The 13,994-nt window shown below is 35.9% G+C and overlaps 1 long non-coding RNA gene across 1 annotated transcript in view; it reads right to left on the reverse strand.

The window, feature by feature from the left end:
• Positions 1–368: 368 nt before the first annotated feature.
• Positions 369–13,994, reverse strand: part of LINC00648 (long intergenic non-protein coding RNA 648) — a 30,062-nt gene continuing 16,436 nt past the window's right edge. Inside the window, exon 3 of the long non-coding RNA NR_039996.1 lies at positions 369–3,173. This is a non-coding gene — a long non-coding RNA (long intergenic non-protein coding RNA 648). The remainder of the gene's footprint in view (positions 3,174–13,994) is intronic.

Below are 13,994 nucleotides of genomic sequence, written 5' to 3' on the forward strand. Positions count from 1 at the left end.
TCCACGTATAACTTTTGACTCCCAAAAAACTTAACTGCTATTAGCCTTCTTTAGACCAGAAGCCTTATCAAAAACATAAACAATTGACGCATATTTTGTATGTTACATGTATTATATTCTGTGTTATTAACATAAATTAAGCTAAAGAAAAGAATATGTTATTAGGAAAATCCTAAGGAAGAGCAAATACGTTTACAATTTATTAAGCAGAAGTGGTCCATCATAAAAGCCTTCATCCTTACCTTATCAGCTTCACCTTGAGTAGGCTGAGGAGGAGGAGGAGGAAGGGAGGGGTTGTTCTTGCTGTTTTGGGGTGGCAGAGGTGGAACAGTTGGAGGAGGTAGAAGGAGAAGAAGGAGAGAGGCTGATGCACTCAGTGTAACTTTTATTGAAAAATATCCATAGACAATTGGACATGCACAATTCAAACTTGTGTTGTTCAATGGTCAACTGTGCTACAAAATCAAAAAGTGGGGCATAGTTACTAAGCCAATAGTAGAAATAAAAAAAATTACTTAAAACCACAATATCAGTTCAAAACAAGGCAGGAAAAGTGAAAAAATCCTAAGTAAACAGTAATATATAACATGTTAATAGATTGAAAAATTCAATATTGTTAAGATAATTTTCTTGCATTAAGCTGCAGAACAAGCAAAATACCAATTAAAATCTCAGCAGGACTTTTGTAGAAATTGGCAAGCTGATTATAAAATTTCCATGTAATACAAACAATTTTAAATAGCAAGAGTGATTTTAAAAATTAAGGGCAACGTTGAAGAACTTACACTACTAGATTTCAAGACTTATCATACACTGCAGTAATAGATGGAGTGGGGTATTGGCATAAGGACACATATTTAGATTAAAAGAATAACATAATCTGGAAATGTTTACAAGCATATATAGTCAGTTGTTTTTTTTAATCAAATTTGCCAGTGTAATTTAATAGGAAAAGAATGGTGCTGGAACAATAGAATATCAACGTACAACCACTGACAGCGATTATAACCGTAAAATTTAGGTGTTTTGTGGTTGAGGGCATGATGGGACATCTACAAAATAAAGGACAAAATATTTCTTACTGCACTGCAATAAGATGGAAGTACAACATTTGGTAGTCCTTTTTGGATACAGGAGGCAGCATAGTTCACATCTGAGGATGCTGTACCAGACCATGTATTAGGTAATACAAATGTTTGCATTCATTAGTGCACACTAACTATGGTAGAAGTGCTGAAGCACTAAAAAACTTAGTTGGCAATGATTTGTCCAGTTGATAGCAACCCATGTTTGTCGGGGTTCTCTAGATGGACAGAACTAATAGGATAGTGTCTATATGAAGGGGAATTTATTAGGAGAAATGACTCACAGGATCACAAGGTGAAGTCCCACCATTGGTTGTCTTCAAGCTGAGGAGCCAGGAAGCCAGTCCGAGTCCCAAAACCTCAAAAGTAGGGAAGCTGATAGTGCAGCCTTCAGTCTGTGGTGGAAGGCCCAAGAGCCCCTGGCAAATCACTGGTGTGAGTCCAAGAATCCAAAAGCTGAAGAACTTGGAGTCTGATGTTCAAGGGCAGAAAGCATCCAGCATGGAAGAAAGATGGAGGCCAGAAGGCTTAGCCAGTCTGGTCTTTCCACGTGTTTCTGTCTGCTTTTATTCTGGCCATGCTGGCAGCTGATTAGATTGTCCCCACCCGGATTGATTGTGGATCTGGCTTTCTCAGTCCACGGACTCAAATGTTAATCTCCTTTGGCAATACCCTCACAGACACACCTAGGAACGATGCTTTGCATCCTTCAATCCAATCAAGTTGACACTCAATATTAACCATCACGCAACCCAAGTGTGAGCATGAGGTGCATGTAGACATGGTAACCATGGTGATGTAAGGAAGACTATGCATAAATTCAGTAGCATGGGTTCCCTGTCTCCAACACAAATTTATCTCCTGTTACTGCATGATGTCCATACATACAAGACAATCACTGAGTCCCCCTAATAGCACCATTCTGCGTGGAGACCAATTAGCTGCTGGGTGGTGCGTAGTGGAACAATGGCATGTTAAGTTAAAGATTTCAGTGGGATGCCTAGCTCAGACATGAGACCATACAAAGATGGGATGTCACTTTTTAGGATGTGTATTCTAAATCAACAACCATAATATGATTTTTTCCGAGTAGGTAAAATACATGAGTCTAAAATCAGGGACTTAAAATATAAATAACTTACTTAACATCATCACCAGTTTCTCATTTACAGAGTTTGTGCTTTCCAGACCCACAAGTTTGGACTGTATGATGGAGAAGTTCTGGTCGACAAAGGTAGAATACATCGACTCTGGGACACTGCAAAAATTTCAATGAACTTAAGTTATGGCTTCTTCCAGTGTACTTCAGGGGACTTTTCCCAAGTGACTTGAAGAGAAGTCACTATCCTGATAGGGATAATTGATCTGAACTTCGGAAAAAGGTAGAGCTCTTGTAGAACGTAAAGCAGGAGGAATATTTTTAACAGTAACTAATCTTAATCCACTTTGGTGTCTTTTGATATTCTCTTGTACAACTTTGAGAATCAATGTAATAATACAGCAGCCAGGACCTGAGAAGGCATAGCGACTGTGACTATAGAACTGTCACAGATGAAGGTCTGAGTCTTCCAAAGTTAGGCCACCTGACCAGCAGAGGTGCTGTTTAAGGGCGAAGAGGGTGAAAATGCGTAACTAAGAAGTATCTTAGCTCAGGCCTCTGTAAAAAATACTGTGGGTGGGTTAGACAACAAAACTTTATTTCTCACAGTTCTGGAGGATGGAAAGATCAAGGTTGAGGTGCTGGCAGTCAGTTCCTAGTGAGGGCCCTCTTCCTGGTTATCAGATAGCTGCCTTCTTGCTGTGTCCTCCCATGGTGGGGAGAGAGTGAGAGCTTTGGTCTTTCACTTCTTATAAGGAGAGCAATTCCACCATGGGGCCCCCACCTCTATGATCTTATCTAAACTTAACTATGCCCCAAAGGCTCGTCCTCTAAATGCCATCACAGGGGAAGTTAGGGGTTCAACATATGAATTTTGAGGGATATGACATTCAGTTTACAACAAGGATGGTAATGTTGAATATCAGTTACAGCCCAAGATCTACTGCAGAGTTGGAAGCTGTGTGGTTTCTTCATTTAATAAGTCTCCACTAGAGAAAGAAAAAAATACACACATACTAGAATCATGGAGAAGCTGCTCCCAACATATATGTACACATGGATTCGAGCAGCATGGATTAACTGAAGTGGACACTGTGCTTCACTACCCATTTCCTAAGCTGCTTATTATATAAACTGTTGGAGTGCTGCTGCCTAATAGAACTGCCTTCCTGGAAGTCCTTCATCTTTTCATCTTTTACTGAAGCATCTCACATCCAATACTGGTGGATACAGGAGTAAAAAGTTCTGGTCCGGTTGCAATAAATCAGAGAAATGCTAAAAAGTTATCCCAGTTCCAGAACTCTAAAAGAAGCTTTTGTTGTGAATGAATCAAAATCCAACTTTTTTTTTTTTTTTGAGACGGAGTCTCATCTTGTAGCCCAGGCTGTAGTGCAGTGGCATGATCTCGGCTCACTGCGACCTTCGCCTCCGGGGTTCAAGTGATTCTCGTGCCTGAGCCTCCTGAGTAGTTGGGACTACAGGTGTGCACCACCACACCCAGATAATTTTTGTATTTTTAGTAGAGACAGGGTTTCGCCATGTTGGCCAGGGTGGTCTCTATCAAAGTCAAACTTCTTTGTCTTTCAATTCTGCTTCCTTTCCTTTCCTTCCTGGTGTTAATTCCAAGAACACTACCCAATCAACCTACTGTGCTATGTTTTACCTATAGTCTGCTTCCCAGGGAGCATAACTTGCAACATTAAAAACTTGAGAACAAACATGTAAAAGTGAAAAATCAACAAAGCAACGAATTCTTTGAAATGATGAATCAAAGTAATAAACTCCTAGGAAGACTGATCAACAAACACAGAAAGCACAAATTTAAAATATGCAGAATAAAAGAGGATATCACTATAGACCCTAAAGATGTTAAAATATAACAAGAGGATATTATAAACAATATTATCCCAATAAAATTTTCAACTTATATAATAAGAATATATTTCTTGAAGAACAGAATTTACCAAAACAGACATTAGAATAAACAGAACCGTGAAAAACTTTGCTAAAAATTTTGAAAAGAGAAAAATAATTAACAAATACATAGATAAATATAACTTACCAAAATTTATAAAGAATGGCTTTAAGTAATCATAAAATAATTTAAAGAAAACACCAGGCTCAATTCTTGTATGGTGAAGTCTGCCAAAATTAAAAAAAAAATTAAATTCTATGGACAAATTCGGAGGATAAAAAATAAATATAGGTCAGAAACTCAGATCTACAAACAGAAAGGAAGAGCATTTTTAAAAAGTGAAGCTAAAAGAAAGACTTATTTTTCTTATTCTTAAGTGATCTAAGAAATAATGATTAGTTCAAAATATTAATCACAATAATGTACTTTATTATGTATGTGTATATGTGCATGTGTGCACATATATATAAGTGAAATGAATGACAGTGATGATAAAAGAGATGAGAGAGAGGAATTGGGATATTTAAAAATTATTATTATAAGGTACTTGCACTAACCATGAAGTAGTATAGTGTTATTTCAAAGTGGACTTGTAAATGTATATTTCAAACTCTAGGGCAACCTCCAACAAACACGAATAAAAGAAGTAAAACTAATGCTAAGAAAGGAGAGAAATGGAATTATATAAAATGTTCAGTTAAAACCACAGAAGTCAGTAAAAAAGTGGAAGACATTAGACTAAAAATAAAGGGAGAGAGAAAGACATGCTATGATCTCACTAATAAAAAAGCAGGAATAGCTATATTAATTTTAGACTGAGCAGACTTCAGAACAAACAGAGGTATGAGAAGTAAATTAGTACAACCATTATGGAAAACAGTATGACTAGTCTGTTAAAAAAAAAAAAAAAAAACCTAGGCCGGGCGCGGTGGCTCACACCTGTAATCCCAGCACTTTGGGTGGCCGAGGCGGGCGGATCACGAGGTCACGAGATTGAGACCATCCTGGCTAACACGGTGAAACCCCTCTCTATTAAAAATACAAAAAATTAGCCAGGCGTGGTGATGGGCACCTGTAGTCCCAGCTACTTGGGAGGCTGAGGCAGGAGAACGGCGTGAACCCAGGAGGCAGAGCTTGCAGTGAGCGGAGTTCATGCCACTGCACTCCAGCCTGGGCGACAGAGTGAGACTCCGTCTCAAAAAAAAAAAGAAAAAAAAACCCCCAAAAATGTAACTAGCATATGATTCAGCAATCTCACTTATGAATGTATATCCAAAAGAAATGAAGTCAGTATGTCAAAGGGTTATCTGCGCTTTCATGTTTATTGCAACATTATTTGCTAAGACATAGATTCAACCTCAATGTCCACCAATGGATGAATGGATAAAGAAAGTGTGGTACATATACACAATGGAATACTATTCAGCCTTATAAAAAAGAAAAAATATCTGAAACAACATAGATGAGATTGAAGGAAGTTATGATAAATGAAATAAGCCAGACACAGAAAGACAAATATGGCATGATCTCACTTATACTTGGAATCTAAAATAGCTGAAATCATGGAAGTAGAGACTACAATAATAGGTACCAGAGGCTGGGTGGGTGACGGGGATAGAGAAAATGGGAAGATTTTAGGCAAAAGGTACAATGTTTCAGCTAGGAGGAATGTGTTGATATTTATTGCACAGCAGTGTGACTATGGTCAATAATGTATTTTGTATTTCGAAATAACTAAGAGAGTATATTTCAAATGTCTCACCAGAAAAATGATGGATAAAGTAGGTGATGTGTATATTAATTAGCTTGATTTAATTATTTCACATGGTACACACATATCAAAACATCACATTGTACCCTATAAATGTACAATTATGATTTGTCTGTTAAAAATAATATTAACTTAAAAGGAGGAGCATTGCATAGTGGTAAAGGGGTTCATTCTTCCAGAAGTCATAACAACCTGTAATGTATATGTGCCTAAAAACAAAGTATCAAAGTATGGAAGGCAAAAACTGATGGAACTGCTAGGTGCAATTGATGAATCCACTGTTTTAGTTGAAGGCCTCATCCTTCTATCACAAATGGACACATCCAACAAGCAGAAAATAAATTTAAGGACACAGTTGAACTCAATAGCATCATCAATCAACTGAATATAATTGACATCTATAGACCTACTTTATCCAACAACAGCAGAATACATTTCTTCTCAAGCTCACATGGTACCTTAACTAAGATAGAACACATGCTGGGCCATAAAACACACCTTAAGAAAAATTTTAAAAAAGAATGATGAATTGTCTGCTCTCAAGCCACAATGTAATTAAACTAGAAAACAATAACAGACAGATAACTGGAAAAATCTCAGAATAACACATTTCAAGATAACATATAAATAAAAAAAAGTTAAGAAAAACAAAAAAAGGGAATAAATGAAAATGAAAACACTATAACATTTGTGAGATATAGTAAAATCAGGTCTTAGAATTTATAGCATTGAATACATATTTTAGAAAAGTGAGGTGGCTCACACCTGTAATGCCAGCACTTTGGGAGGCCGAGGCAGGCAGATCTCTTGAGGTCAGGAGTTCCAGACCAGCCTGGTCAACATCGTGAAACCTTGTCTCTACTAAAAATACAAAAACTAGCTGGGCGTGGTGGCACGTGTCTGTAATCCCAGCTACCCAGGAGGCTAAGGCAGGAGAATTGCTTGAACCCAGGAGGCAGAGATTGCAGTGAGTCGAGATCGCACCACTGCACTTCAGCCTAGGCGACAGAGCAAGACTCCATCAAAAAAGAAAGAAGAAGAAGAAGAAGAAGAAGAAGAAGAAGAAGAAGAAGAAGAAGAGGAAGAGGAAGAGGAAGAGGAAGAGGAAGAGGAAGAGGAAGAGGAAGAAGAAGAGGAAGAGGAAGAGGAAGAAGAAGAAGAAGAAGAAGAGGAAGAGGAAGAAGAAGAAGAAGAAGGATCTAAAATCAATAATTTAAGCTTCTACCATTGGAAATTAGTAAAATAAGATAAAATTTAATTCAAAATAAGCAGAAGAAAAGAAATAATGAAAACTAGAGCAAAAAATCAATAAATTTGAAAGTAAGATATCAATGAATTTGAAAGTAAGATATCAATAAATAAAATCAATGTAACCAGAAGCTGATTTTTTGCAAGGTAAATAAAATAGATAAAATAGATAAACCTCTACCAGGCCAACTAAAAAAAAAGGACAAAGGACACAAATTTTTAATATCAGAGATGGAAGAGGGAATATCACTACAACTCCATTGACAACAAAAAGATAGTAAAGGCATACTATGAACAACTGCATGCCCATAAGTTTGATAACCTAGATGAAATGCATCAATTTCTTAAGTAACAAAATCTGCCAAAACTCACACAAAAAGGAATACAAAATCCAAATAGCCCTATATCCATGAAAGAAATGGACTCAATAATTAATAACCTTCCACAACAGATAGCATCAGGCCCAAAGATGTTCACTGGTGAATTCTAACAAAGACTGAAGGAAGAAATTATACCAATTCTCTACTATTTATTTCAGAAAATAGAAGTAGAAGGAGTACTTCTCAACTCTTTCTATGAGGCCAACATCATCCTGATATCAAAACCAGACAGACTTTATAAGAAAAGAAAACTGCAGATTAATATCTCTTATGAGTACAGATGCAAAAAAAAAAAAACTTCAACAAAGTATTTGCAAATTTAATCCAACAATATATAAAAAGATTTATACATCAGAACCAAGTGGGATTTATCTCAGATATGCAATGCTGGTTCAATATCAAAAATCAATTAATGCAATCCATTGCATCAAGAGGCTTAAAAAGTCGTGAAATTGTATCAATAGATGCGGAAAAGGTATTTGAGAAAATCCAACACTGACATATGACAAAAACTCTCAGTAAACTGGGAAGAGAAGAAATCTTCCTCAAATTGAAATGGAATATCTACGAAAAGCCTACAGCTTAACATCATCTTTAATGATGAGGACCTGGAAGCTGTCCCACCAAAATAGAAAGAGGCAAGAATATTTCCTGTCACTACTGCTTTTCACCATTGTACTCAAAGTCCTAGTTAATGACATAAAACAGAAAAAGAAATAAAAGGTATACAGATTGGAAAGGAAAAAATAAAACTTTGTTCACAGATGACGTAATCATTTATGTAGAAAAGCCTAAAGAATTGACCAAAAAACCCTCCTAGAGCTAATAAGCAATTATAGCAAGGTTGTGGGACAAAAGGTTAAAATACAAAAGTCAATCACTTTCCTATATACCAGCAATAAAAATTTGAATTTGAAATTAAAAACACAATATCATTTATATTAGAACCTACAAAAATAAAAACTTAGGTGTAAATCCAAGAAAATATATACAAGACCTGTACAAGGAATACTACAAAGCTATGATGAAAGGAATCCAAGAACTAGAGTGACAATCCACGTCCATGGACAGGAAAACTCAATATTGCCAAGATGTCAGTTCTTCCAAACTTGATCTGTAAATTCAATGCAATCCTCATCAAAATCTCACTAGTCATTTTGTAGATATTGACAAACTGATTCTAAAATTTATATGCAAAAGGAAAAGAACCAGAATAGCCACGACAATATTGAAAGACTAGAACAAAATTGGAGGATTGGTAGTATTGACATCAAGACTTACTTTAAATCTACAGTAATTGAGGTAGCCTAATATTTGCAAAAGGATAAACAGATCAGAGGAACAGAAGAGAGCATGCAGAAATAAAGCTACATGAATGTACTCAACTAATCTTAAACAAAGGATCAAAAACATACTATGGAGAAGATAGTCCCTTCAACAAATGGTGCTGGAATACCTGGATATGTACATGCAAAACACTAAATCTAAATGCTAACCTTATACCCATCACAAAAATCGATTCAAAAAGGTTCAAAAACCTAAGTGTAAATGCAAAGCTATAAAACTCCTAAAAGAAAACATAGGAGACATTGCAGATGAGCCTGGATTTGCTGATAACTTTTTATATATAACAGCAAGGGCATAATTCATGAAAGAAAGAATTGGCAAGCTGAACTTAATGAAAATTAAAAATGTCCACTCTGTAAAAGATATTGTTAAGATAATGAAAAGACAAATCATAGACTGAAAATATTCGCAAAAGACATATGTCATGAAGGATTGTTATTCAACATATACGAAGAACTCTTAAAACATAACAATAAGAAAACAATTTTTAAAATGGGCAAAAGACCTGACACCTTAGCAAATATGATACACAAATAGCAATAAGCATATGAAAATATGCTCCACATCCTATATCATGAGGGAAATGCAAATTAAAATAAAGAAATTCCACTAAATGTCTATTACAGTAACCAAAATCCAGAACATTGACAAGCACCAAATGCTGATGAAGATGTGGAGCAACAGGTACCTTCATTCATTCTGGGGGGAATGCAAAATGGTATAGCCACTTTGAATGACAGTTTAGCAGTTTCTTACAAAACTAAACATACTCTTATCCTACAATTCAGCAGTTATGCTCCTTAATATTAACCCAAAGGAGCTATAAACATGTCCAAGCAAAAATCTGCATATGGATGTTTAAAGCAGCTTCATTTATTATTGCCAAAACATGGAAGCAACCAAGTTGTCTTTCAGTAGGTAAATGAATAAGTAAACTGTGGTATATCCAGACAATATAATATTATTTATTGCTAAAAAGAAATGAGCTCTCAATCCACGAAAAGACATGGAAGAAACGTAAATGCATACTACTAAAAAAAAAGCCAATTTGAAAAGGTACATACTGTATCATTTCAACTATATGACACTCTGGAAATGGCAAAAGTATTGAGACAGTCAAACAGTACAGTGGTTTCTAGGTGTTGAGGGGAGGGATGGATGAATAGGTGAAATACAGAGCAAATTCAGGGCAGTGAAAATCTTCTGTCTGATACTATAAAGATGGACACATGTCATTACAAATTTGTACAAACCTATGGAATGTATAACACCAACAGTGAACAATAATGTAAATTTTGGACTCTGGGTGATAATAATGTGTCTGTGTAGGTTCATCAGTCATAAGAAATGTACCACATTGGTGGGGGATGTTGATAATGAGAAACGCTATGCATGTGTGGAGACAGGAGGTAGGTACATTGATGCTGTGACCCTTCCTCTCACTTTTGCTGTGAATATAAAACTGTTCTAAAAAAAATACTTTAAAAAATCCATGGTGAAGAAAATTATAAAGACAGGCTATTGTTTCTTGTTTGTTTTACAACCCTGTGCTTTGTGCAAGAGAAAAAGTTGTTCCCAATGAGCCCTAGGTCCTAGTCAGGGCCACAAAACTGTCACATCCCCCATGGGGTGGGCCAATAAAGGCTGACAATAGTGTTGGAACAAGTGAGGCAATGCAGGCCTTTATGTATACTCATGGTTTTTGATTTTTATTAACTTTTATTACCTTTTTCGATTTGGTTCAACAAATGAAATTTACAGATATTTTACATAAGTGTATATTGCAGAGCCCATTTCTTCTTTTGCATCAGGCTCAGACATGGCTTGTCATGGCACTGAGGAAGAGATTTATTCTTCTTGACTCTGGGGTTTCCTAGTCCTTTCTATCTCCATGATGATGGCCCAAATGAACTGAACTTCCCTAGCACTGTCTCTGCACAATAACCTCATGGGTCTTCATTCCCTAATCTGACTTTTAAAGGCCTGCTGAGTAAAGAAATAAGATCCTAGGGAATTCTGAAGTAGGCGAAGATGTTTCTGTAGTACTTCAATTTCCAACTTTACATCATTTTCCTTTCAAAGTATGCCCCCATTTTCACTCACTAACATTCATAGTATTTTACCTTTTTATCATCTCAAAACATTTGAGAAATTTGTGGAATAAATTAACTCATTCTGAGGTAAAAAAAATTTAAATCAGCTGAGTGGGCTCTACACACTGCACAGAAATAGTGTCTGTTTTACAAAAATTAAAATTTTGCTAGCTAAAATAAAACACTAGCTGTTAAATGTCAAGTATTAACTCATGGGTGAAGAAGTGAAACCTTTCAATAGCCCTTTAAAATTTTAACAATTACTTCTTAAACTACGCATAAAAACCAGTTTTAATATATATATAACACAAAAAAAACACAGAACAACTTTTTCAAAAAGGTCAACAGTTTTAGTTACAAAACAATGTCTCTGGATGTGGACATTAAAAAGACTACTTCCAAGAAAATTAAATTTTTGAAGTCTTAATTAAATCCAAAATAGGCAATGTGTGCCAACACTACAAAAGACATCAAAAGTCTCATCTGCCAAATGTTGCCCAATTTGAGTACAGATTTCATTTCCTATGTGAATGCCATGTCCTATTCCCTGAAACCTGAATGACTAACATTGAAAAATATAAGAAACATAAAGTGATAGGTATTATGTGCAGATTTTATTAATAGCACAACAAATAATCTTTAGTGAACAAAATGGACAGTTTCCATGACTGAATCTCAAGAATTAGAATTAGAATGACTGGATTTATAATTTAGATACACTGGCTTTTTACTTGGTGACTTATTTAGGTAGTTACAATAATTGATATTTTCTAAGCACTTAACATGTTCCAGGCATGATAATAGGCTGCTAATATAGTTTATTTGTTTACTTTTCACAAGAGTCCTATTTAATCTCCTTTCGCATATTTTTCATATGAGAAAACTAAGTATATTCTAAGATTATGGAACTTGCCCAAGTTTACACAGGGATGTGGTTCAGGACGTGCTATCCAAAATACAGCACCTTGACACAATGAGTATTTTAAGCTGAAGGAATTGATCAAACCACAGAAACAGGAAGATGTCTCTGAAGCAGGATATAGAAACAGTTAATAAAAGTAATTCACCTTGACCTTGTCTCCTGAAGCAGACCATAAAACCTAGCTGAGCTTCCCCTGAAAATAGGTCATAAGACTCTTATTTCAGGGGATTTTTGAAATATACCCAGAAGAAAGGAATGTCACACAGGAACACCAAGAAAAATCTGAAGGGGAGAAAATATAAATATTTTTTCTGAGTCCTCACAAGGTCTTTGCTAGGATACCTGTGTAAAAAAAAAAAAAAAAAAAGACAAATGAACAGGAACAAAAAGGTATACAAATTTTACTAACATGTATATAGATATAGGAGCCATGCACTGAGTATGAGACTCAAAGGAAGTGCCAGATAGCTGAAGTTTTTGTACCATCTTGAGGTTACAGAAGGAATAGGGGAAAGATAGGATATGGGAGGGAGAGAGGAGGAAAGGCATGGTGAGCAAAAGCAGACTTGTTATTGCAGAAATCTCACAGATAGCAACTCTCAGAAAGAATACATGGTGGCCTGCAGTAACATTTTTCTGTCAAAACTTCTTTGAAGGTATAAGATTTTAGTCTCTTTTTCTGTGAGTTAATCTTTCCTGGATCCGGATAAGAGGACCCTCAGAAAAAGTCTGTTTGCGTTGCTGTATTTTTTTACTAATGCAGATTTTCTCTATAATGCAAATCTCCCACACAAAAGGGCAATTTTTTCAGGGGTATTTCTGTGGGTTGCAGCCCTTCAGAATAGCCATATAGAAATACACCAAAAAAGTATATTTTGTGGTGAAATATTCTGGTTTCTGTCAGAACAAACAGGTCTTGCTAAATTTTCTCCCAGTTTATAGCTATTAGATCATATCTTCCTTTTTCCCAATCATGTTCCTCCACAACTGTCTACTTCTTCATCATGCTTAGCATAAAATATACACAGTTTTCCCTGTTTCTTTGGGAAACACAGTTTTCCCCTCCGAATATACACAGTTTTCACCTCTGAAATTTCCATATTACGTAAAATTTATATTAAATACGTTGTATGGTTTTCTCTTGTAATCTGTCTTTTGTTACAGGAGTCACAGTCATGAACCTAGCGATGGGCGAGGAAAAGAAATAGCTTTTTCTCCTCTACAGTTTCACAGATAGCACATGCAGAAAAGCCGGTGAGACACACATATTCAGCTGGAGAAAAGACTTGACACATCACTTTTTATTTATTTATTTTGAGAAAGGATCTCACTCTGTCACCCAGGTTGAAGTGCAGTGGCACAATCTCGTCTCTGGTAGAGACAGGGTTTCACCATGTTGTCTAGGCTGATCTCGAACTACTGAGTCCATTGGATCCACCCACCTTGGCCTCCCAAGGTTCTGAGATTACAGGCATGAGCAACTGTGTCCAGCTCATACCACATTCTTAACATATGCTACTACATTCTTTACTCACCAGCTTATAGTTCACTACTATTTTTCCTCTCCCTTTCTCATTTGTTAATTTATTAATTTTCCATGACTTGGGAGGCAAAACTTTTATGTAACATAATAGCAATCTGTATCCCTTTAAAAACATTGGCTGTTTTTACACGCCATGTAAACCTCAGTAAAATGAGTACCTTAGAGAATTATATAGATTCCTCAGCAATTCCAAGAGATCCAATATCCTTTCCCTGTTGCAGACCAGAACTTTATCAGGCTACTTAGGTATGAAGTAAAACTACCAGTTCCTGTTTTCCATTAAGCAGAGCAAACAATAGGCAACAAACAAACAAACAAACAAACAAACCAGAATTCAAGCTTGTTGAAGCAACAATAGCAACGGAACAAATAATAATATGAAATTTCAATACAGAATTCTGTCAAAGTTTTTCCTTCTACTGTTCACAAAAATGTTCACCAAAACATCAGGCTTACTGACATAGGACAAACTGCATAATGCAATATGTTAAATAACAAGCATTGTCCATTATAATGAAAGGAAACAAGAGTCAAAGGCACGATATTCATAAAACACTTGGAATCTATAACCCACTAAAATTCAGGCTACCA

Source organism: Homo sapiens, chromosome 14 (assembly GCF_000001405.40).
Source record: "Homo sapiens chromosome 14, GRCh38.p14 Primary Assembly".
Taxonomy (NCBI): domain Eukaryota; kingdom Metazoa; phylum Chordata; class Mammalia; order Primates; family Hominidae; genus Homo; species Homo sapiens.